General features: G+C 46.6%; 1 long non-coding RNA gene and 2 pseudogenes across 2 annotated transcripts in view; 1 reads left to right on the plus strand and 2 right to left on the minus strand.

The window, feature by feature from the left end:
* Positions 1–24,504, plus strand: part of IGFBP-AS1 (IGFBP5 antisense RNA 1) — a 116,628-nt gene extending 92,124 nt beyond the window's left edge. The window contains exons 4-6 of one of the 2 annotated variants that reach the window (NR_187138.1): positions 12,980–13,116; positions 16,743–16,818; positions 23,247–24,504. This is a non-coding gene — a long non-coding RNA (IGFBP5 antisense RNA 1). Of the gene's footprint in view, positions 1–12,979; positions 13,117–16,742; positions 16,819–18,155; positions 18,718–23,246 lie in introns of those variants that run through there. The other variant, NR_187139.1, reaches the window with a different exon arrangement.
* Positions 6,920–7,031, minus strand: RNA5SP120 (RNA, 5S ribosomal pseudogene 120; annotated as a pseudogene).
* FABP5P14 (fatty acid binding protein 5 pseudogene 14) lies at positions 18,954–19,423 on the minus strand (annotated as a pseudogene).
* Positions 24,505–25,660: the final 1,156 nt, after the last annotated feature.

A 25,660-nucleotide genomic window follows, 5' to 3' on the forward strand; every position in this document is an offset into this window, starting at 1 on the left:
AAAGGTCAGATCACAATGTGGCACCATAGTGGAGACAAGAAGCCATACCCAGTGCCCTATGTCCAGTGCCTTCTCCAAAAATATGGCATAAAGCTGAAGAGACTTAGGTGGAAGGAAGAGTGTTTGGGGGTAGGGCTTTCTCTTAGGGGTCCCGGATATCATTCCATGTAGATGGGTGCCTACTCCGTCATGGAATGCTCCTGGTCAGGCATCGGAGAAAGGCCTTGGGCTGACCTCTGAGTCCTCTGCGACACCTGCTGACCTGCTGGAGGTTTACGGATCCAAGCAACAGCCACGGTGACCAGGCTGAGTGATTACACCACATCGGAGAACTTGGCTTACTCTGTGTCTGTGGGAACAACGGTCAGCTCTGCTCCTAATGAGAACAGTAGCTGTCAATTTCCTGAGTGTCCACGGCCTTAAGGAAAACATGAAGCAGCCAGGAGGTTCTGACTCCCCTGCTTCTGTGCCTTTGCCCAGGTGTTCATCCCCATCAAGCCCTAATAAACACTTGGTGAAATGGACAATCTAAGCTCCCCAAAGATGCAGTGGGAAAAGCTCTGCCTTTGGAGGTGGAATACTGTATTTGAACTTGGGTCTTTCCATTTACTGTTTGATCTTGGCTGCGTCTGTTTCAACTCTCAGTTTCCTCATCTAGACATTGGCATAATAATATCTAACTCACAGGCTTGCAGTGGGTATTGAATAACAGCACAGATGCATTTTGTTAACATTAAAGTGCTGTGTGTATGCAAGTTATTAATCACAGTTGATACATTTAGGACTCTGCATAGAGCTAAATCAGACAATCTCTCCCTGTAATTCTTTCTCTCCCAAATAGAACCCCCTAAAATAAGGGTCTTCAAACTGTGGCTTATGGGCCAAATCCATCTTGCTGCTCATTTCTGTACAGGCTATGCACTAAGAATCACTTTTACATTTTTAAATGGTTGAAAAAATCAAAAGAATAATATTTTGTGACATGAGAATTATATAAAATTCAAATTCCTGTGTCCATAAATAAAGCTTCATCAGAATGTAGCCATGTTCATTTATTTATGCCTACGGCTGCTTGCAGATGACAACAGCAGAGCTGAATAGCTGCAACAGAGACCAGACAGCCCGCAAAGGACAAAATATTTACCATCTGGTCTTTTACATAAAATGGTGCCTGACTCCTGATCTAGAATAACAAAACCAGGCGAATAAAAATGCTGAGCTAAACCTGGATCTTTAAGCATTCAAACTGGCTATGTCCACAGTCCTCAAATCTTTGGGTCTTTGAGGAGTTCATACAGACCTGTCTTCCAGGAGTGTTAGAGCATTGGCCTCGGTTGCTCATGGCTTAGGCAAGGATGACAGAGCCCCCAGCAGAGTCCTTGGCTGGCAGCCTGCGGCCTCTCTCACTAGATCTGAGGGACCCAGGAAGGCCTGTCCCCTTAGCAGAGCTGCAGCTGTCTAAGTCCAGAGCCACAAAAATCCCACCCTGCCTGCCGCCGTTTAGCCATTGAAGTTGCCTGCACATCAGCTGGCAGAGTGCTTTGCCTAGTGACAGGTCTTCCATTTAGATGTAATCACCTTTTTATATCCACGGAGCTTTTTTGAATGCCTCTCTCCACCCAGCGCTTTCCCTGATGATTGAAAAGAGCTCAACCATCAAATGGCATTATCTCCTCTGAATGGCCTCAGTTTATCACCTGGACAAGCCCAGAAACTTCAACCCTGAGCTTCTCTTTGTTGTAACAACAGGTGCTCAGGAAGGGGGTGGGGTGAGCAAGGGGGAGGATGCGTCTAAGAGGAGGAAGGCTGGGAAATGCTCTTTGGGGGAGATCTTTAGAAACTGAATCAGCTTTGCTACTCTGGAACAGGCTGCAACAGAATTTGTGCAGGACTCAAGGGTAGCAGGTGATGCAGTGATCTTTCAAGCTTCTGAAAAAAATGTCCTATGACTGACCTAAGTCATAGGTCATACCTTAAAAAGAAAAAGGGTACCAAAGAGTTCCCCTAAAAAGCTCTAAGGGAAAAAAATTTCAAAAGTTACTTTTCCATATTTTTTAGTTGTGTAAAAAATATTCTTATGGCTTGAGCCAGTTTAGTGACTACATTTTCTACTTAGTCCTCTCTGACAAGGGTCTAAGAAGGTTCCATTATTCCCAAGTGACAATTTTTTAAAGATGCATTAAAATGTTTAGTCAGCCAGGTGCAGTGGGTCACACTTGTAATTCCAGCATTTTGGGGGGCTGAGGCGGGAGGATCACTTGAGCCCAGAAGCTTAAGACCAGCCTGGGCAGCAGAGGGAGGGTCCCGTCTCCACAATAAAAAAAAAAAAGAAAAAAAATTAGCCAGGTATGGTGGTATGTGCCTGTAGTCCCAGCTACTTGGGAGGTTGAGGTGGGAGGATCCCTTGGGCCTAGGAGTTCAAGGCTATAGTGAGCTGTGATTACACCATTACACTCTAGCCTGGGTGATAGAGTAAGACTCTGTCTCAAAAAAAAAAAAAAAAAAGTTTAATCCAACTATAAAAGTCGGTACTGGGGAGTCTGGAACTAAAGTTCAGAGGAAGCAGTATTATAGAGTGGGAATTGGGAACTTTATCTGGAAAGAGCTAGATAGTAAATCTTACAGGCTTTGCCAGCCATGTGGTCTTGGCTGCAACTATTCAACTCTGCTGCGGTAGCACAGAAGCAGCTATAGATAATATGTAAATGAATGACCCGGGCTGTGATCCAAGAAAACTTTATTTACAAAAACAGGTGGTGGGCTAGATTTGGCCCGCGGGCCAGGTTTTGCCAACCCCTGGTGTGTAGAGCTTTAGCCTGCTTAGCACTCTCTGCTTTTCCCTACCAGATGGTAAAGCACAGAGAATGTGCCAGTTTATGGCAAGAAGTTCCCTAATGGGCCTAAGCTGAAGTTGTAAGTGAAACCGAGCAGAAGAGGGACAGAATCTTCAGTGTGGAGGTGATATGGTGGTTGGCAGTAGAAAGAAGATTGTGGGCCAGGCATAGGGTCTCTTTAACAGCAGAGTATCTGAATATGGATGCTAAGGTGGCGGAGGAGGTAGGAGCAAGACATCTGGTTCTTTGTGTTGCCTAGGGCTCTAAGCAACCTCAGGCTCCACCTCTACTATGATTCCTGCTCTTTTTAGTCATCCCTGGAATCTTCTGGGATTTATGTCTCCTTTATGCCATCTACATTCTTGTAAACTCCCAATCTTGGCTCTCTTGCCAAACCCATTAGAGCTCACCGTTAGTAATCCTGCCTCAACAGTACCTTTCCTTGGCATTCAGGATAAATTAACCCTCCTCTATGCTTTCCTGGTGCTGCTATACACCTCCATCAGGTATAAATTGCATAATATCGCGTTATATTTATGGCTTCCTCACTGCAAAGTTTTCATGTATATGTTTTCCTCATCTTTACATTTTCAGCGGCTAGCTGGGGAAAAATGCGAAGAAAGAAAGAGGGAGAGAGATAGATAAAGAAGAGAAAGAAAAAAAAAGCAAAAAAAAAAAAAAGAAAGAAAAAGAAAAGAAAAAAATAGATGCAAGTTTGAGTTAATTCAAAATTGCCCAATCTAGTGCTATTTTGAGTGCTTTCTAATTGCTTTATTTATCATGTCTTCTCTCCCAGTGACTTATACTGTTTTTGAGGGAGAAAGGCAGAGTTGTAGTAGCCAGGATTATACTAGTCACAAATGGCAGAATTTCCATATCCAGCCTAGGCTAGAAGGGGGATTTGTTGGTTCCTGTAACTGAACCAAGGGAGGGCAGAGTGCAGCTGGCCTCAGGGTCAACAGGGAACAGGGAAAAGACAAGCGGATAGGACTCACTGTCCTCCATCTTGGTTTCTGCCCACGTACTAGTTCTGTTCACTCAGACTGATTCTCTTTTGGAATCAAGGGTGCCAGCAATGGCCAGGTTTCACGACCTGCCATTTTTACCGTGAAGAGGAGCTGCCTTACCTCCTGCCCCCCGCCTCCCGCCTCCCACCTCCCGAGGTCTAACTTAAAAACTCTTAGGGAAACATTGGCTTTCCGTGGGTCCTGTGCTCCACCTGAGATCAGGGAGGTATATTTTCACAACTGGAAGCTTCTAGTAGAATAAAACTGGCATGGGGTGGAAGGAAGACATCCCAGAGGAAGGGGGATGCATTTCTTAGAAGCAGAAGAACATGTGACAGGCAGACAGAGTAAGAGACATGCATTCAGTGTCTTCCTTTCTTGAATAGCCCTTTCTCAGTGGTTAGCCCTAAGCTGGGCAGAAACACACATGAACGACGAGAGCCATTTTCCTTTTAAAGTGCTGCCTCTCATCCCTTATGCAAATTTATCTCCAGTTTGGGGCTGCCGATAATTTTTTCCAGGGTAGATACATCCCCTTACCCTGATGGATTAAGAACCCACCTTTTGGCCAGGCATGGTGGCTCATGCCTGTAATCCCAGCTGCTTGGGAGGCCGAGGTGGACAGATCACGAGGTCAAGAGATGGAGACCATCCTGGCCACCATGGTGAAACCCTGTCTCTATTAAAAATACAAAAATTAGCTGGGCATGGTGGCATCCACCTGTAGTCCCAGCTACTTGGGAGGCTTAGGCAGGGGAATGGCTTGAATCCAGGAGGTGGAGGTTGCAGTGAGCTGAGATCATGCCACTGCACTCTGGCCTGGGTGACAGAGGGAGACTCCGTCTCAAAAAACAAAACAAAACAAAACAAAACAAAACAAAACAAAACAAAACAAACCCACCTTTTTAACAGACTTTATAGTCTAGAAGTCCCACCATCAACGTTGATCTTCCTTTCTACAGCCTGTAAGCACTGAAAAAAAGAGGCCCAACCATCTATTATCCATTCCACACTCATTTGTCCAGCATTTACAAAAAATTAGTAAACTGTTTTTTGGAGCAATTTTAGGTTCACAGCAAAATTGAGTGGAAAGTACAGAGATCCCGTCCAGCACATATTTTTCACAAACTATTGTGCAACCAGCTTTTATTGACATTTTTTTTGTTTTACTCAAAAACTCTGTGAAGTAGGGATGCATTTTTATCTGCACATTTCAGATAGGGAAACTGAGGCCTAGAAAGGTAAAGGGGCTTGCCCAAGACCTCACAGCTTTTGAGGAGCCAATCTGGGGGTGTTACTGTGCATTTTCCTGGGCACTTTCAAAGAGCAGAAGTTTCCAAAGCAGGAAGGGCTGGCTCTTCAATGGTAGAATTCTCCTTTCATAGTAGATATTGAGAGAAATAGTGTAACTATTGACAGGTTTTGAAAACCCTGAACTCAGCAAACAGACCACGTTCAGTCTGCCCATGTCTATTCAAGTCATCAACTTTGGGTCCCCACTGTGCCCCTGTAAGGGAGTCTAGCAACTTCTAATAAGGGATGGGCATTTTCTGTGTGGCTCCTTTCCCACCATTGATGCTGACATTCTGGCCCCTGAATACCCATTTCATTGGTACCAAATGGAAAAGCCCCTGGAGGGGAGGATGCCTGGGATGAGGGGGAGGGTAGCTGATGGGGCTCTCGAGATAGCCCTGGTTCGTCTCTCCCAAGACTAGTTCTCATGCCAAAGGATTCTTGTGTCTCAACCCATGAGATCTGTGGGGCTACAATTCCAGTTTCTTCTTTCTTTGGCTTCAGTACTTTCCAGCTCCAGTCTCTTGAGGTTAGGGTGTATGTGACGGGGAGAGGAGACTGGGGCAAGGGGTGGGGAGTTGAGTGGAGTGGGTGGTTGGTAATATTTTCCAGTTCTTTCTAAAGTGTCTGCCTTCCCTTAATGGATACGGAAGTGAGCCAGCCAGCTGACTGCCCCGACTGCAAGATTGGTTACTGCTTACATCATCTGAGCAGCCAGACTGGGGACAGGGGTGGTGGGGAGGTGGAGGAGAAGCTGAGCAGGGATTAATCCAGCCCTGAATGAATTAATAGACAAAGGCATTGGAGATCAGGTAACCTTTTTCCCAAGCTCATGCCCTGGGGATGTGGAGAAGAGCCAGACAGTTCCATTAGTGCATGCATGGCGTGCTCTGTGGGTGCTCCGCCCTTTATCAACATTTCAGTTCCATTCCATTGCACCCTATGCCTCTCCAGTCTGTGAGCTTTGGTTGAGAATCAGGAATGTCCCAAGAATATATTAGTGGAGGAGTGATATAGAGAGATCTAAGATTAACAGCCCTCTTGGCATTCCCTTTTAGAGGGGGCCAGCAACCTGCATCAGTTAGCTTTTGCATGATGAGCTACCCCTAGCGTTAGCGATGTCTGACAACATTCCTTCATCACTGCTGCGGAGTCTGCAAACCAGCAGGGCAGGCCTGCTGAATCAGATTGGGCTCTGTGGCTCTTGGCTGCACTTGCTTAAGTGTTTGTAGGCTGGCTGATGGGCCAGGCTGGTCAGTGATAGCCTGGATGACTGGAGCCTTTCTCTGCATACTCTCTCATCCTCTCCCAGGCAGACTTGAGCTTGCTCAGGTGGCAGAGGCAGGGTTCCAAGGAGGCAAGGGGCAGCCTGCAAAGCCTCTAGAAGACAGGCTTAGAATACATGTAACATGTTCTGTTGGCCACAGCAAGTTACAGGGCCAAAGCCGGCAGTGGGGAAGAGCTCCAGCTCTTGATGAGAGTAGGGGAAAAGAAATGCAGACATTTCTGCACTCTGCTTTAGACACACGCACCCTCACTATGCACAGAAGACTGATAGTCCTCTTTGATTTCTCTTATCACACATGCTTATGGCAGGATGGAGGAAGAGTAGTTAAGTCTGACAGGGGTGAGTGGGATGGGACAGAATTTGAGGAAAACTTCACAGAGCAGGCAGCCTTAAAGGACAAATAGTATTTCAACAGAAGCAGAAACACACACCTCTTTCTCTTCCTTTTCTATTATTTTCCTCTTGCCAAAAACCCACATTGGACCCAGCTACCACTTAATCTAGAGATTCCATCAGCGATGCTGTGGTGGCTCCCATCCAAGTATAAACCAGGTCAGGCCCTGCTTAGCTTCTGAGATTGGGTGCATTCAGGGTGATATGGCCGTAGACGGTGACCCTATGGCGTAGAATATGCTTTCTGCATCTGGAGGCAAGATGAGCTCCAGCTAGAGCTTCCAGGGGTTAGAAAAAGGGAGGTTCCCTGACTCACATTTTTGCCAAATTATAATGCTTCTTTCCTATCTCTCGTCTCTTCTTGAGCTCCTCCCCTGCCGCTCTTTTTCTCGCTGTGATTTCTAATGGGTATAGATCTATGGATGGCAACAAGGAAAAAGAAAAGTAAAAATTGTTATTATTCCATTGCCAATGGAAGAAAAGATCAATTTATTTATCTTACTCTGTGGAGGGGTCATGCAGATACCCCACTCATTAGTATGTGAATTCCTTGTTAAGTGCTTAGTGCAGTTTTGGGGGCAGAGTGTGTGGATCAATAGACAGCATGAAGGCAACAGAAGTGATGGTAATTGTTGTAATTATTGTACTTAATGAGTCATTGGAAATGGAAACATTATTTGAGCAGACTTCTACTGCCTTAGCAGAATTTGCTGATTTGCTAGCATCCTTTACTAGTAAGATCATTAAAAACAAATATTCAAATTTTAGAATTGTTTTTTCTATGATCCAGCAGTCTCACTATTAGGTATTTATCCAAAGGAAATCAGTATATCAAAGGAATACCTACATCCCAAGGTTTACTGAAGCACTATTCAAAATAGCCAAGATATGAAATCAACCTGTGTCCATCAACAAATGAATGGAAAAAGAAAATGTGAGACATGGCTGGGTGCAGTGGCTCACGCCTGTAATCCCAGCACTTTGGGAGGCCAAGGCGGGTGGATCACGAGGTCAGGAGGTCAAGACCATCTTGGCTAACATGGTGAAACCTCGTCTTTACTAAAAATACAAAAAAAAAAAAAAATTAGCCAGGTGCGGTGGTGGGTGCATGTAGTCCCAGCTACTCGTGAGGCTGAGACAGGAGAATGGTGTGAACCCAAGAGGCGGAGTTTGCAGTGAGCGGAGATCGCACCACTGCACTCCAGACTGGGCAACAGTGCAAGACTCTGTCTCAAAAAAAAAAAAAGAAAAGAAAAGAAAATGTGAGATGTATATATATATATATCTGTATGTGTATTTTATATATATATATACACACACATATATATACACATATATATATAAAGTTGGTGCAAAAGTAATTGCGATTTTTGCCATTAAAAGTAATGTAACACATACACATGTAGAATACTATTCAGCCATAAAAATGAAATGTCCTCATTTGCAGCAAAATGGCTGGAACTGGAGGTCATTATGTTAACTGAAATAAGCTAGATACAGAAAGACAAATATTGCATGTTCTCACTCATATGTGGGAGCTAAAAGGTGGATCTCATGGAGGTAGGGAGTAGAATGCTAATTACCAGAGTTTGGGAAGGGTGGGGAGTTGGAGGAAGAGAGGGTGGTTAATGGGTACAAACATACAGCTAGAAGAATATGTTGCGGTGCTTGATAGCACAGCAGAGTGACCACAGTTAGCAGTAATATGTTGTACAATTCAAAATAGCTAGATGAGAAGATCTGAAATGTTTCCAATGTCAAAGAAATGTAAATGTTTGAGGTGATGAATGTCCTACGTACCCTGATTTGATCATTACACATTATTATGCATGTATCAACACATCACATGTGCTCCTTGCATATGTAGGTTGTTATGTTTCATTAAAAAAAGTTTAGGGCCAGGCATGGTGGCTCACACCTGTAATCCCAGCACTTTGGAAGGCCAAGGTGGGTGGATCACCTGAGGTCAGGAGTTCAAGACCAGCCTGGTCAACATGGCGAAACCCCGTCTCTACTAAATATTAAAAAACTTAGCCGGGCATGGTAGTGCATGCCTGTAATCCCAGCTACTTGGGAGGCTTAGGCAGGAGAATCACTTGAACCTGGGAGGCAGAGGTTGCAGTGAGCCAAGATCGTGCCATTGCACTCCAGACTGAGCAATAAGAGTGAAACTTGGTCTCAAAAAAAAAAAAAAAATTAAAACAAACAAGCAACTTTCTATTTTAGCACATGCATGAGGAACTCTCTTCCCTAGGGGAAAAAAAGTCCCAGGAGGAAACCTAGAGTGGGTCTGGGGTTGGTCCTCCTCCCTGTGAAATCTACCCTTGGAGAAATCCTCTGTCCACATCTCCACCTGAGGGAGGATGCCCTAACCCTGCCCTCACCCTAGCAGCTGTTGGAGAAGATGAGGGAAGCGCTGAGAGTGCAGACTGTTTTCTTATGCTCCCCAGTCTCTGTGGCCAGGAGTACTCCTTTTGCCAAGAAAGGGGTGGTGCCCCACTAAACCTGGTTTGTCTTTTCTCTGTCTCTGCCCTGTCTTTGAAGGTCCTAGGGCCCTTGTGCATTTCTTACATGCCAATCATGGAGTAGGCTGGGGCCTGGGGTTTTGGGTAGGGATTCTGTTTTGTTCGTTCCCAGTCTGGAAGATGTGGCCAAGAGTGGAGGTTCTAGATGGGAGCTGAGGTGGTGCGAGCCACCTCCACCCTTATGTAATCCTCAGACCTTCCTCCCCTCTGTCCTTCATGACAGAACCAGTGTCTAAATCTGAACTTGTTTGGTTGCAGAGAACAGAAACATAATTCCGATTAGTGTAGACAAATGAGACATTTCTTCCAGAGATACGAAGGGCACTGAGATGCCTCACAGAAATAGGGGAAGAGCTGCAGCAATCACTGTTTGCTCATCTCTGCTTATCTGTGCTTCTCTGACTGCTAGTTAATTTTGAGTACTTCCCAGAGGCTTTCGTCTCCTAGGAGGCACATAACCACCAGCTGTCCCTGCTTAGCAACTTCTGCAGAAAGAGAGTGCCTTTTCCCCCTACCGTATTCTTCGCTGCAACTCAGGGAAGGATTCTCAGTTTCCCTACTTGGGCTACGTGTCACTGCTGCCTGAACACAGACCACTAGGCTTTGTTCGTCCTTAGTCCTACGCCCACTCCTCCAAGTAGCAGAAGAAAGACGATGGGAATGTTTGCCGAACAGACAACACCCAAGAAGTACTCTAGCAGGCCTAAAACCTAAGCAGGTGATGTAATCCTTTTTTCTATTATCTCCAGAGCCCATCAGCATAGTTGGTGTCTACTCTTCCTTCCTATGGCTGATGGGTATAAGCCAATCATTGCTGTTCCTCTTCTCATTGACAGTGATTGGTTTAGGTACAAGCATGTGATGTGATCCTGGCCAATATGATGTAAGGAGATAACAACTAGAAGAGTTCTCAATCCTTAAGAAGCTTAATCTCTTTTGCTGGCCACTATCCAGCCTGTAAGGGATGCCTGGAACTGTCGGACCCAGCCTGCAGCTGTAAGGACCTGGTCAAGGTCAAGGTTGACATGCTGAGGATGGCACAGCAGAGTGGAGCCAGGTCCTTGAGGACCTGGTTGAGCTGTTGAGTTAACCAACCCTGAAGCCACCATCTCCAGGGCATTTTTTTTTTTTTAATATGAGAGAGTAAATTTTTCACCTATTTTAAGCCAGTGGTTTTCAAAGTCTGGTCTCTGGACCAGAAACGCCAATCAGCATCCCCTGGGAACTTGTTAGAAATGCAAATTCTTGAGTCTTACCCAGAACTACTTAATTAAAATCTCTGGGAGGGGGGCTCAGCTGTTTGCCTTTTAACAAGCCCTTCAGGTACATGCTAAAGTTTGAGAGCCACCATTTAAGCCATTGGAGTCAAGATTGGAGGAGGATTTGATTCTGTTTACTTGCTGCTGAAATATTCTAAGTGGAATAGTCTTAACAGAAAGGGTCTGGAAAGAATCTAGAATCATTCCAATTCTACCCCTTCATTTCGTACCCGTGACTGAGTTTAGGGAGGAACTGTATGCGATGTTTGCTATGATGCTGCTCCTGAGGGCTGGGCCCTTTCTCTCTTGAAGTTCTTATTCTCATTTTTATCATTATCATCAATAAATCTTTACTTTCTGCATAGAGTGCATAGGGTGAGTCCCACAGATGCTTTACCTGATGCCTTTGACCTCAAGATGCCTGTACCAGTTAGGAAACAAACTGGGTGATTAGAAGTGAGCTTAATGAAAGTAATAAAAAGATTGTTCACGGGACAGGTGTGATGGCTCACACCTGTAATCTCAGTACTTTGGGAGGCCGAGGCGGGTGGATCATGAGGTCAGAAGATCGAGACCAGCCTGGCCAACATGGTGAAACCCCGTCTCTACTAAAAACACACAAAAAATTAGTTGAGCCTGGTGGCCATCCCTGGAACCTGCGAACGTGACCTTATTCGGAAAAGGGGTCTTTGCAGATATCATTAAGTTAAGGATCTTGAGATCAGGAGATTACTCTGGTTTATCCAAGTGGGCCTTAAATCTAATGACAAATGTCTTCGTAAATGAAAGAGAGGGATTTTAGACAGAAGAGAAGACAGAAGAGGAGGAGGCAATGTGACCACAGAGATAGAGATTGGTGTGATGAGGCCACAAGACAAGGAATGCTGACAGCCACCAGAAGCTGGGAGAGGCAGAGAACTGATCCTGTTGATCCCAGAGCCTCCAGAGGGAGCGTGACCCTGCCAATACCTTGATTCCAGACTTCTGTCCTCCTGGAACTATGAGAGAACATATTACTGTTGTTTTTAACCCACCAAGTTTGCAGGAATTTATTATAGCAGCCACAGGAAACTAATGTATAGGTCCATAGAGAGGACGATATGCCAGGAGCTGTAAGGAGCCCAGACAACCTGGAACAATGCTGCAAGGAGAGAATGAGGGAATCAATTCCCAGCTTCCCCTTTCTTCATTCTCTCTGACTTCCAGATAGTGCCTCCCACTGGCCAAATCCAAATGAAAACTGTAGGGCAAGGGACTCCCCTTGATAGGGCCCCTAGGGGTTGGCCTCCTGAGGCTCAGTAGGATGGAGAAGGTTGGACTTGGAGGGACAGGTGGAACTGTCTGGCATGCCCCCCATTGCCCGAAAAGCACAACTGAACTGTTAGCATTGAACAGCCATGGAAGGATGAGGTGCAAACATTTCCATGAGATATATGTGGCAGGAATTAGTGCTTTGTGTAGTCAAGAGGAAAATAAATTGTCTGAAAAAGCTGGTGGAAGAAGTAGAAAGTTAAGTAATGTTTGAGTAGCGGGAGAAAGATGGTTGGATGATCCAGGGATGAGAAAGTGATTCCTTATATATGTATATATTTGTGCTTGGAAGATAGCTAGAGATGATGGTGGGATAAGAGTATTAGATATGTGTGAACAGCATGTGCTTATGATGTTGGGGAAATCAGGTGGGAAGAGGGAGGAACTGGGGAACACTAACCTCAAGTAGAACTATGACATTTTTTTCAAATTTCTGGCATTGTGGCAATCAACAATAGGGTCACTGCTGCCCCATGTAGAGCCCTAACTATCCCTTCTACTGACAGGCGAGGACAGCCCCATAAGATCTAGCCTCAAAGTCTAGGAGTACTGCTTCCCAGAAAGGTAGTGAGTGAGTGTTGAAGTCAGTCCTATGTCCTTTGAATAAGAAGACACAGGGCTCAGAGGATAGAAGTTGGGCTGGATGAATTACAGGGACCTGTGGTCATCATTCTAGAAGCAATTTGCTAGGCAGGGTCTGGAGGTGTTGGACTCAAACCCATCACAGCCACTGTCCTATGAGATCCTAGGAAAAGTGTTTTGTTTTTCCTGTGTCTCTCTCAGGAAAGTGGCCACAATGAGATACTTTCTATCTATCTTGAAGAGACTTTGATAAAAACAAATAATGGTAAATAAGCCAGGGGAAATAAATAACAATCACTAATTTATTAAATTTTCAAAAATCATCTAATTACAAAGCAGGGAAGAGAAAAGAAAAGGCTAGGGAGGTGGAAGATACAGAAACAATGTCAGTGGGCTAAGAAGAGACAAAAGCATTCACATTTATCAGAAGAGATAACCTTGCCCCCTCTTGCACTTGTGCTCAGGAAATTTTGCTTCTCTTTGCCAGATAATCCAAGACGGAGGAGAAGCATCTCCATGGCACCTCACTCTGATTTGCGAGGATTTGGCCAGAGAAACTGTTCTCAAGAGTGTGAATTAGGTGGCAGCTACTATTTTATGGTACCTCGCTATCCACTTTGTAAGGTACGAGTAACAACAACAACAAGCAAACCAAATTACCAAAGCACAAAAAAAAATGTGTTCAGTCAGTTACAAAATGCTCCTCAGCCAGAGAAGTGGGCATCTGACTCCTGGAGGGGCCCTTCAGCCTGTGGAGTATTCTTGTGTGTTGCAGGTTTCACAGTGAGCAGAGGCTGTCTCTGAAATGGGCAGAGAACCAGTGGGTTGTAGTAGTTTGCATATGGGGAGAAAGGGAGAGAAAGAGAGAGAGACTCTGTGTGTGTGTGTGTGTGTGTGTGTGTGGATGTGTGGCTGAATGTCATCTGTGTGTCTGCACGCAACATTGTGCCAATGAAGTTGGACATGCATCTATGTGTGGGATGGGGTCCTGGCCTTGGCAACAAGGGGGTGTACGTGTGGGTGTGAGTGACAGCAGACTCAGAGTCCAGGCCCAGGGCCTCTGGGGACTGTCACCTGCAGGACTCATCATAGAGGAGACCAGGTGCTTGGAGTGTCCCCAAAGCAATACAGAGTGCATGGTCATGAGTTTGAAAAATATTCCTGTGAGAGATATAAATAAAGCCTCTAAGCCCAAAGCCAGAGTTTTCGAAAGCCAGCCTTACACACAAGATAATTTATAGTTGCTGGTGTCCCTTCCCATGCATGACTCAGCTCTCCTAGCCCAAGTAGGCCCAGCCTGCTCCAGTAACCTTTGCTGAAAGGGAAGAGTTGAAGCAAACTCCAAGAAGCCCAATGATCCAACCACCCAGCTCCCGGACTAGCTCCTGCTGAGCTCCCTTCCTCTGTTCCCTTTGGGCAAACTCCAACCATGACATGGATGAACAGATCCTGGAAACTGAGAAACCAGAGACTTGGGTACTCCCAGCTGGCTGGTCCTTGGAAGTCTATTAAACTGGTTCCCGTATACCTTCAGGATCTTGGCGGATTCTGCTACCCATACAATGGGTATTGGCTCAAACACCCTTCCCACCACTCCCCAGCCTGCCTTCCAGCCATTGGGAGGCAGCAAAATCAGAACAAAGACCTGCTTGAAGCTAGAGAGTTTTTCTCAGTCTCAGAGACTCTTGAGCCCAACAGGAAGAATAAAAATGAGAGCACTTTTACCTTTTATTTAAAAGACAGTATATACCCATGTCAAGTGTCAAAAATATGGCTAAAAAGAGGGATAAATAGTGACATGCTTAAACATTGTGGTGAATTTGTGGGGGGAGGCAGCCAGCAAGGAACAGGGTTAGTTTTTTCAATTTTCTCCCTATATTCCTCACTTCCCACCCACCTTCTTTCGTTATATTTTTAGCAGACTCTTTGGCCAACCACGTCCAAAGAGACAGATGCAAGTACAGAGAGTGCATACTGAAACCAAAGGGTGTTTCTTTTTCTTCTTTTTTTCTTAAAAACCTTCCAGGAGTGTGGAAAGGACTGGAAGTGCTCGAAGGTCTTTTTAGCCACATGCCTTACCCCAACTGGGATCTGGAACATTTTTATGCCAAGGCCCATATGCCTGATTGTCCAAGTATAGGGGAAAAAAATATCATTCAGGGCTTTAAAAAATAGTTTAGCTTTTTGATTAAACTGCTAAACAGCCTTGAATAAAATATTTTTTTTGCTGCTCTAGCAGATGAATTTGTGCAACTGGCCTAATTTTAATACAGGATCCAACACATAATAGGTATGTAATAATTGTTGAATAGATGGATAATTCTTTAACCCTGTAATGAAGTGTCCTCATTCAACATGCATTTATTAAGCCACTCTTTGGGTGTGTACAAGTGTGTATCCTCAAAGGCTTCTTCCTGCAATAACATTCTATAATTCTGTGACCTATATTCTGAGTAAGTCATATGCTGATTCTTTGATTAATCTGGGGGAAGGAAGTTTCAAGTTAGCCAAGTTAAAACACACATACACGCTACACTCCAAACCTACACAAACCTACTTCTTAAATGATAGAAAGCGGAGGACCTTGGTAGCTGCATAGCTAAAACCACAGAATTTTGCCTGGTTTGGCCTGGCCTTGTTGGAAGTGCACAGAGCCTACTCTAGATCCCATAGCTCAGTCTTTTGAAGTTCTTCTTTTGTTCCTTGCCTCCTCTTCTTTCTGATCTTTCCATTCAGGGGTGGTCATCTTCCACATTCTCAGTTTCTGAAAGCCCCCTGTTCTCCTAGTCACCCCTGTCTTTTCCCATCTTAAAAATAACAAAGGCTGTGTGTCATTCATATGTGCGGATTGATCTGCACATGTGGATGAATTTGATTTAGAGATCCTTGCATGTTATTGGAAGGTAACAGACTAACAGAGAGGCGAAGAGACTCCCAAGATCACACAGCTATTGAATAGCAGCAATCTAGCCCATTGTTCTGATCTGAAATTGATCTATAATTCTCAAGTGAGAGCTACAGATACAATTCCACAAGCCTGCCAATTAGGAGACTTGAGGTGGCCTTGAGGCTGAGTCAAGCCAATCTTTCTGCCCTTTTGATAGCTGGTCACTCCCCTTGGATCTATACTATTTGCTTCAGCTTCTAGTGATTTCTTCTACTCTGTTTGGGATATTCACACTGTATTAGGAATTTATAGACCTGGATGGGCCCACCAGATGTCATCTGCTTTCTGAAGTTCTCAATCACCAGGCAGAATTCCAGCCCCAGCAATCCTTTGTTCTGAAGGATATAGGGAGGCCCTTCAGTAAGAAAATCAGTCTGAATTTCTGTTTTTCCCTCCAGAATGACAGTGGCCCCTTCTGTTGGGTTTGCAACATTTACTCTGGAAGCCCCCACTGCACGCTTACCCTAATCATCTGCAGGTCTTGGCTGAGCATTTAGAGATTCAGAATACCATATTGGGTACAACAAGGGTCTCCTGGAGCCAAAAAGATACAAACTTTCAATCCCACTGGTTAGGGTTGGAAGGAAGACAAATACACAGAAGATTCTGTTGTTCCGATGAAAGGGATCTCTGTGTCTGCACAGCGATGACAGGGAATGGTGTTTGGTCTCAAACAGCACGTTTCTGACCCGATTGACTTGGAAGATGGGCTGCTCTTGCATTGCGGCCCATGCCAAGGTCACGGGGACACATGACCACTGCAGGGAAGGAAGATCTGTATTCTCTGGCGAAAATTCACATGAGTGGGGAAGGAGAGGAGGAGGTGGCATGCAGAGAGAGGGGCCATCCCACTTTGCAAATCCCTCCTCCAGCTTTGTCACTGCTCCCCACCCCTCAAGTTAGAAGCACCAGCAGCATGGGCCAGACCAGGGCCAGCTGATTCTGTGGCCTGTTTATACCCTGTAACCAGAGCCTGTTCTCAAAGAGGCTGCCTGACAGCTGCAGATGTAAGGGGATGGACCAACACTTCCAGAGATTGAGTGACGCGTGCTGGTGTCCATCTCAGGGGCAGCTTAGCCTGACAATCTTCTCAAGCCAGGGGATGGGAGTGGGAAAAGGTGGAGCAGGCTACCAGTTAGTGCTCATGGTGGCGGGACCTTGGAGCCTGCTATTGAGCTTGTGTGCTCCCTCCAGCCCCTAGTCTGCCAATGGGATTGCTTTCTTCAGGGTCAAGGCAGGTGAAAGAGGAGTTCTGCATGTTTCATTGGTTTATTTTTCCCACTCTTTATCTTTGTCATTACAGAAAACAAAAAGAACACATGATGAGGCTCTGGGTCAGCCAGGATTCTAGATTCTGCTGCCAGACACATCTTACAAGGGTAGAGTGCTTGTTTCCTCATCCCAACCCCAAGCTTCTCCTCAAAGGTCAGCCTTTCTTTCTTCCCCTCAGCTCTGGGAGGCAGTAGCAGGGACCTCCCTCCACTCAGCCCAGCCTGGACTCCCAGCCAGGAGGCTGGGGCAGTGAACCCCACCGCTAGGGTCTGGTGAGGCTGAAAATTCTTCAAGCCAGGCCATCTTACAGGCCTTTCTACAGCTGTGTCCCGACCCTCTATGCCTCTGCAATTTCATATCCTAATCCTTTTGGGTCAGGCTCCCTCCACCTTCATCTTTCTTTTGTGTCTTTCATAAATTGGTCCTGTAGCAGCTGCTCCTGCCCCTGCCCAGCCCCCAGTCGTGGGTGCCCTGGAGAGTGGGTATACATCGTATCCTGGCTCTCTATGTTCACACCTCTCATGATATTTGCAGATGGTTAACATGTTCTTTCCTTTAGTTTCCCGCTCCCCGCCACTTTGGCCAGGGTCGGGGTTGTGGCGGGGGGGGGGGGTGGGGGCGCGGGCGGGCAGGAAGGGAGAGGCAGATTTAGCTCATGCTGGAGCCCAGCCCTGGCACAGCCTGTGACCCGCTGCTCTCAGGGCAGCATGCCAGTGCGCCCTTTTACTGTCCTGGCCTGTCCGCTTTCTGATGGCAGCCGTGGCAGGAGTGGGGGTGGAGCTCATGGGGTTGGCTGGGTTTGTTCAACAGCTGCCTCAGAAAGGAAAAGGCGAGGGTGAGACTAGAGGGTTTGGGGAAAACAACACAAAGCAAGGCGTAGAGGTTTGGAGATTAGAGTTCAAGTCCATGCATGGTCACCAACCAGCTGTGAGAACTCAGTTTCTTCATAATTTAAAATGGGAATGATGAAAATTCACGCTTCTTGGAGTGGATGTCAGAATCATGGACATCAGGGCAGGGGGAAGATGCTTGTCAAATTGTTTTCTTAGGGTCTGGCTCATAGTTTGTATTGGCAAAAATGAAAGAAGAAAGGAAGGAAGGAGAGAAGGAAGGAAGTAGAGAAGGAAAGGAGAGAAGGAAGGAAGGAGAGAAGGAAGGAAGGAAGGAGAGAAGGAAGGAAGGAGAGAAGGAAGGAAGGAGAGAAGGAAGGAAGGAGAGAAGGAAGGAAGGAGAGAAGGAAGGAAGGAAGGGAGGGAGGAAGGAAGGGAGGAAAGGAGGGAGGGCAGAACTTTCTGGGGCTCCTGTCTTTTCAAGCACTGAAATCTGAAGCAAACTAGACTTAGAGGCTGCTGAGTCTGCAGGTTCTGGCCCCAGGATTCGCTGGGTCTTTGCACTTGGTCACTCAGTGATGAGCTCTTTTGTCTATTTTCTTCCCATTGATCAGAGTCTCCGAGAGCAGAGGGAGCACATCCCCTGACACCTCGCACATGACAGTTGCTTCATCAGTGCTGGTTGTGCTCCTGAGAACTCAGCATGGAGAGAGGCCTAGTCCCCGCTCCCCTGCTCCCAATTGCTCTGTGACTCATTCTCACGGCTCGCCCTTCAGGTTCTCGTTCTTGAATTTCTCCTGCTCCCTCCCACTCCCAGTCCTTTGCCATGTCTCCCCTGTGCCTGGAACACTTTTTGATGCAGGTCACCTCCAGGACTCTGCCACTTTCAAGTTGAGTGTTCCAGGTAGGTCACTGAACCCCTCTGAGTTTCAGTGTCTTTATCTGTAAAGATAAAAACTAGACATAACCTTTGGCTGACTGGGAGAGTTGGGATTGGATAAGGCAAGTACTGAGTCCAAGGCCTGGCTCTGAGTCCCTGCCCCAGGGACAGCAGCTCCTGTGATTTTGGTTCATCATGGTAGGTCCCTCCTTCTCTCTCTCTTCTTGGGAACTGCCACCATCCTTTCTGTTCTTTAACCTGCTTCTCCGCCAATAAAGGCAGAGTGGAACACTCTCTTCCTGGCTCCTATTTCCTCGCTGCCTCCAAAGACAAGCCTGTCACCTCCCCACCCCGCCTGCCCACATCTTTGTTTTACTAAATGAAGGAATAATTATAAAAATTTTAGAACTTCATCAGGTCCTACAAGCATACACCTGAATGATAACTTCCCTGTTGGGATAATAGCTAGAAACTCTGTTGGGTGTTTGCCTCTTGCTCGAATTCCTTATTTTATTTTATTTTGAGCAAAAACACACATTTATTTACTAACCAAAGGCTGATCCTAATCTAAGCCAACACTTTAAAATAGCTGCATGTAAAATATTTGTGATGAAGATAATTAAACACAGTAATGAAAAAAATAAAAACAAAAACAAGCAGGATGGAGATATGTTCATTGAACTGAAATTGTTCCTTCTCTCAGCTAATTGCTCTCCAAAGCAGTAAGGAAATTTTTATTCTGCTTTTTTTATTTTCACAGATCTGAGTACAGGTGACATTGTTCATAATGCATTCCATCCCTGCTTTTTTGTCTCCCACTTTTCTTCTTCTTGCGTTTTTCTTTCCTCATCCCATTCCCAGTGTTGAACCAATGCACGCTTTGTAAAGTTGCAGACAAATAGTCTGAGTTTTTTCTGCCATCACCTGTAGTTCTTTCATACTTCTCTCCAAGTTTAGAAGAAAACCGTGTTGTTTTCAGAGTGCTCTTGGTTTTTATAGTGAAGCTTTTGCCATCAGAGATGGCACCATCTGGTTTAGTCATTGCACCAATTTTGCAGGGCCATTCTCATCCCTGTTTCTTTGAGGTATTTCCTCTCTGCTGGGCGCCATCTTCCTAGCAGCTGCTGAGTGGTGACTATGGTTGGCAGATGGCCTTGCAAGGTGGTCAGAGTCGAGGAGGTATACTCTCCTGTTTGAATTCTTTTTTTTTTTTTTGAGACAGAGTCTCGTTCTGTCACCAGGCTGGAGTGCATTGGCGCCATCTCGGCTCACTGCAACCTCCGCCTCCGAGGTTCAAGTGATTCTCCTGCATCAGCCTCCCGAGTAGCTGGGACTACAGGCATGTGCCACCTTACCCAGCTAATTTTTGTATTTTTAGTAGAGACGGGGTTTCACCATGTTGGCCAGGATGGTCTTGATTTCTTGACCTTGCGATCCGCCTGCCTTGGCCTCCCAAAGTGCTGGGATTACAGGCGTGAGCCACCGCACCCTGCCCTGTTAAATGCTTAATAGTGGAGTTCACAAACCACAGCCTCCTTATTTCTGACTTATTTCTACTTTGGCCTCCTGGATGGCTCTCCTCTTCCCAGAAGTAGACCAGGAGATGCAATTAAGGAAGAAAGATAAGTGGTTAATGCTTGTTCTCTGGAGGTCGGCCTTACCAGTGATGAGCTTTGACCTTGGGAGTGGAGAAGCGAGAAAAGATTTTCTTAGCAGTGGTTCTCAAATGTTAGTGTGCAGAAAATCACTGGAGTGCTTTCTAAAAAATGTCATTTCTAGAAAAGCTCCCCCTACCCCAGTTGATTCTGATTCAATAGGTCTGGAAAGGGGCTAAGAAATTTGCACCTTAGCTCCTTAGGTGAACCAAGGCAGGTGGTCTAGGGTACCCCAACCACAATTGTGAACACTTGAAAATGTGTCTTCTGCTTGTCCCATAATAAGTGAGTCACTACTGGGTCGTCTGCCTTGTTACAAGCCAACCTGAGTCAATCTGTTTGAGCACAATTGTTGGGTACTTTTTAGTGGTTAATGATAGAGCCAAGGAAGCTTGAGTTGGGTGAGGTTAGCTGTTCCTTCTCATCCCTGCCAGCATCTTCTAATGAAAATAAGTCTCAGACCAGATTCATACCTACGATGATTAAATAAGCATTCATGATCAAACAGGCACCTGCTTTGATAGCTTAAATAAGTCCCTGATCTCTGTCCTTGTAGATCCTCTTACCTTCCACCAGTTTATTCAAGGCAGAAACAACACAATTCCAAAGGCAGGAGCTGGTTACCCTGATTATTGGCATTAGGCAATTAAAGATTCTCTTGACCAATGACTGGACACAGGACTGCTGGTGGGTCGAGTTCCAGAAGCCATCCTAGGTGCAGCCTAGGTCTCCATGGGTTCACATCCAGAGTGTTTCTAAACTGTTTTGGCCAATGTACATATTGTGAATATCATTAATTTCACAAAAAGAATTTATTTTCATCGCTCTTTTTTTTTCCTGTTTTTAAATAGAGGCAGGGTCTCACTATATTGCCCAGGCTGGTCTCGAACTCCTGGGCTCAAGTCATCTGCCTGCTTCGGTCTCCCAAGGTGCTGGGATTACAGGTGTGAGCTACCACACCCAGCCCATCATTCTTAATGCTCTAAGACAGACAGTTATGCATGTCTGTAGATTGGTGATTCTCTGATTTGAGAGCAAATCAGAATTACCAGAGGTTCTTGTTAGAAATGCAGATTGTAAGGTCATATCCCAGAGACTGTGATCCAGGAGAATGGGTCTCAGGAATCTGCAATTTAGCAAGCTCTCCGTGTGAATCCTGCTGTCTGTGGTCCTGGGGCCTCATTTTGAGAACAACCACTGTAGCTCCCCTGGAAGCGTGAGCAACCAATAATGGGATGATTGCTCACATGGGTTCCCGCAGCCCCACCCCTGCCCTGACATCTGCTGATCCGACAACTCCAAGTGGCTTGGCTTCAACCAGGAACAAATGGCTGCTGCTTACAGGCCAACTGGCACTCACCTGGTATCAGGCTGATTTCTAGGCCTGGAAACCACTCAGCCCCAACTCAAGAGGGGCGCTCTGCAGAGACCAGCTTGTTTGAATGCTTGAGAACCGCAAGACCTCTGTGTGGTTCCCATTCTTCTACTCTGCTTTCTGGCCCCTGCCCAAGTTGCCCAGTTTTCATTTCCTGGTTACGGAGTCATTCACACTCACATAAACACACACACTCCTTGATTTCAGATCTCAGGGACATGGGGGTGAGACGGAATCTTGAAGCAGCCATTTCTAGCAGTAAATCTGGTAGTTGCACATGCAGGCATTACTATTACTGTAACACTTTCTGGGTTGAATCTGAGCTCCCTTGGCAAGTTAATCTCTTTGTTACCTAATTATTATCTTTTCTGAAAAAATGGAAATAATGAGTACCTCTGTGAGTTTACTTGTTGCTGATAAGTAAAATGCCTGGCACACAGCAAGTGCTCAATAAACATGAGCTACACACATACACACATACATGCACTCACACACACACATACACCTCAAACATGGGTATGCAACTCACACATATTCTCTCACACACACCTTCTCATACATGCATATGTGCACTCACATGTACACACCGTGCACTCACACACTCACATACACCTTTTATATGTGCATATAAACACACGCACATACTCTCTCACACATAATCCCGCAATACACCTCACACACACCTGTGCACTCACACATACTCTCTCACACTCACCTGTACATTCTCATACAGGCATATGTACACTCACAGTACTCTCGCACACATTCTCACAATACACATTCTCCAACACATTCTTATACTCACACTCGCATACTCTGACATAGACATGCACACATAGACTCACTTTCATATACCACACCCCCGCTCACACATCTCACACTCTCATGCCCACATAGCTACACTCATGCTCATGCCCTCACACACTCGAGCACGCATTTGTCACACGCTCACTCTCACACCCACACACCCACATAGACGCCTCATACTCATGGCCACACACACTCGCACACACATTTGTCACACACTCCCTGATACTTATCCACATAGATATACTCGCACTCATACTCTCACACACTCATACACAGACACATTTGTCATACACTCACACCCACTAGACACACTCGCACTCACACTCTCACACACGCTCATTTGTCACACACTCACACTCTCACACTCACACACAGCAAGTGCTCCACATGGACACACACTCATACCCTCACACACACTCATTTGTCACACACTCTCTCACACTCTCCCACAGACACACTCACACGCCCACAAAGACACACTCACACTTATGCCCTCACACACATGCATTTCTCACACACTCACTCTCTCACATTCACCCACATAGACACCCTCACACTCATGCTCACACACACTCACGCACGTCTGTCACACACTCACACAGTGTCTGACACATGCCTTCTGTGGAGTCAGAGTGAAATGGGCCTTCGCTCGGAGTGGCTGGCGGTGGCAGGAGCTCAGGAGACAGGAGCAGGAGGGATTTGACATTCACGGGGCCTCATCTGTGCTTGTTTTGGGGAGGTGCCAGGCAAACCAGACTCCACCCCAGTGTCTTTGGAGCGAGGCAGCCATGGGCAAAACCAAGCCTGCTGTAAAGCCCCAATGTAGAGTTCAGGCAAAATGTGGTGAAAAGGGAGGAGGCAGTTTTGGCGAAATCTTCCCGGGAGACCACGCAGCAATACCAGTGACAGAAATGAACAGCTATGTGCCAGGGACGGCACTGTGCGCATGTAACACATCTCAACCAATCTGCTCAACGACCAGCAGGCATCGTACGACCCCGTGTTGCAGACGAAGAAACTGAGGCGCAAGGAGGTTCCTCGGCTTGTATGCCTGGGTGTCATGTATGAGCCAGGCCGTCTAGGTGAGTATGGCAGGCAGCTCCCTGTGCCCCCGTCACACAGAGGGTGTGTGTGTGAGCTGAACCTGAAGACAGTGTGTGGGGTGGTGACATGGGGGGCACGGGAGGTGGACAAAAGGCAGACGAGTGGGACAGCGTGTGGCATGGCCCTGAAAAGGGAGGCAGCCCGGGTCAGTAAGGGTCAGATCTGGGAGCCACCTCAATGCTTGCAGAAGGAGTTTGGCTTTTGTTTTGTCCCGTGAACTTTGGGAGGAGCTGAAGCCTAGAGCAGAAGGATGATTTGAATTTTAGGAAGATGATGGGGTGGATGGAAAAGGTTAAAGAGCAGAGGAGCGACGCTCTGGTGTGGGCAGCCCGAGAGGTGATGGGGTTTCAGTAAATCATGGCGGGGAGTTCAGGCCACCGCCGGAGTCCAGTGGGTAGGGCTCTCTACGGCCGGAGGTGGCTGTGGGGGAGACGGGCGGGAGGCCCAGACCGGCAGGGAGCTTTCTGCAGGGAAGCTGGAAGGATGGTGGGGCCGGTAACCCAACATGGGGCCCAGGAGCGGGAGACATGGCCGGAGGGGCGGCGAGGAACGCACCGGGGTGGGCTAGTTTGGAAGGGAGCTCGGGGAACAGGCAGGGGACTCTCAGCCACGGGAGGCTCTGTCACCCTGGGGCTCGCCAGGGCAGGCACGTGGGTCAGTGCCCTGAGGAGAATGCCCTCGTGGGAGGCCAGGAGAGCTGCCAGTGCTGGACGCCAGAGCGGTCAGCCAGAATATTCCACTGGAAGAGAACGGCCAGTGTGTGTGCGGAGACGGCCCCTGGGCGCCACCTCCCTGCTTGGGCATCTCTTGCGCCGTGGAGAAGGGTTCAGGGTATGCTCTGTTCAGCTGACGGCTTCCCCAGAGCCACCAAGGTCTGAGCTCCTGCCTCCGATCTGGGATCTCCCCACATCTTCGCTGACTCTGGAAGGAACTAGGGGCCTGTGGGGAAGTCCCGCCCTCTGGGGAGAACAACTGAGGCTGAGCCAGAGCTGAGAACCACTGTGATGGGGAAGCAAGGCAGCTGGAGCCCGTCCTAAACCCGAACGGAAATGAACTAGACATCGATCAGGTGTCTCCTCTCTGCCAAGCACTGGGCTCAGCCCCAGGTGTACAAAAATAAAATGTGGTATTATGCACAACGGAATAGTATTCAGTCTTACAAAAGAGGGAAATCCTGTCGGTTGTGACAACATGGGTGAATCTGTAGGACATGAAGCTAAGTGAAATAAACCAGGCACAGAACAACAAATACCCCACGATCTCACTTCTGTGTGGAATCTAAAAAAGTCCAACTCATTGAAGTAGAGAGTAGAATAGTGGTTACCAGAGGCTGGGGAGAGGGAGCAAGTGTGAGGGTGGGGTGGTGGGTGGGGGGAAATGGTGTTGTTCAGAGGGTATAAAGTTTCAGTTAGAGAAATGCATTTTGGGGACCCATTACACAGCATGATGACTATAGTTAATAATGTAGTATATATTTCAAAATTGCTGAAAGAGTAGATTTTTTTTTTTGATGGAATGTCGCTCTGTCTCCCAGGCTGGAGTGCAGTGGCGTGATCTCGGCTCACTGCAAGCTCTGCCTCCCGGGTTCATGCCATTCTCCTGCCTCGGCCTCCCGAGTAGCTGGGACTACAGGTGCCTGCCACCACACCTGGCTATTTTTTTTTTTTGGTATGTTTTTTAGTAGAGATGGGGTTTCACTGTGTTAGCCAGGATGGTCTCAATCTCCTGACCTCGTGATCCACCTGCCTCGGCCTCCCAAAGTGCTGGGATTACAGGTGTGAGCCACCGCACCTGGCCGAGAGTAGATTTTAAATGTCCACTATCACCACACACAAAAAAATAAGTATGTAAACTGATGGATATGTTAATTAGCTTGATTTAATCATTCCATAATGTGTATGTATATCAAAAAACTACCTTGCACCCCATACCTATACACAGTGATGATTTGTCAATTAAAGATAAAATATTGGCAGGGCGCAGTGACTCACGCCTGTAATCCCAGCACTTTGGGAGGTCGAGGCGGGCAGATCACTTGAGCCTAGGAGTTTGAGACCAGCTTAAGCAATGTGGTGAAACTCCTGACTAATTTTTGCACAAAAAATACAATAATTAGCCAGGCATGGTGGTGTGCACCTTTATAGTCCCAGGTACTTGGGAGGCTGGGGTGGGAGGATTGCTTGAGCCTGAGGAGTTTGAGGCTGCAGTGAGCCACGACCACACCACTGCACTCCAGAGCCTGGGTGACAGAGACTGCCCCTGTCTCAAATATATATATATATATATAAAAGTCCC

The sequence above is a fragment of the Homo sapiens genome, chromosome 2, assembly GCF_000001405.40.
Source record: "Homo sapiens chromosome 2, GRCh38.p14 Primary Assembly".
NCBI lineage: Eukaryota > Metazoa > Chordata > Mammalia > Primates > Hominidae > Homo > Homo sapiens.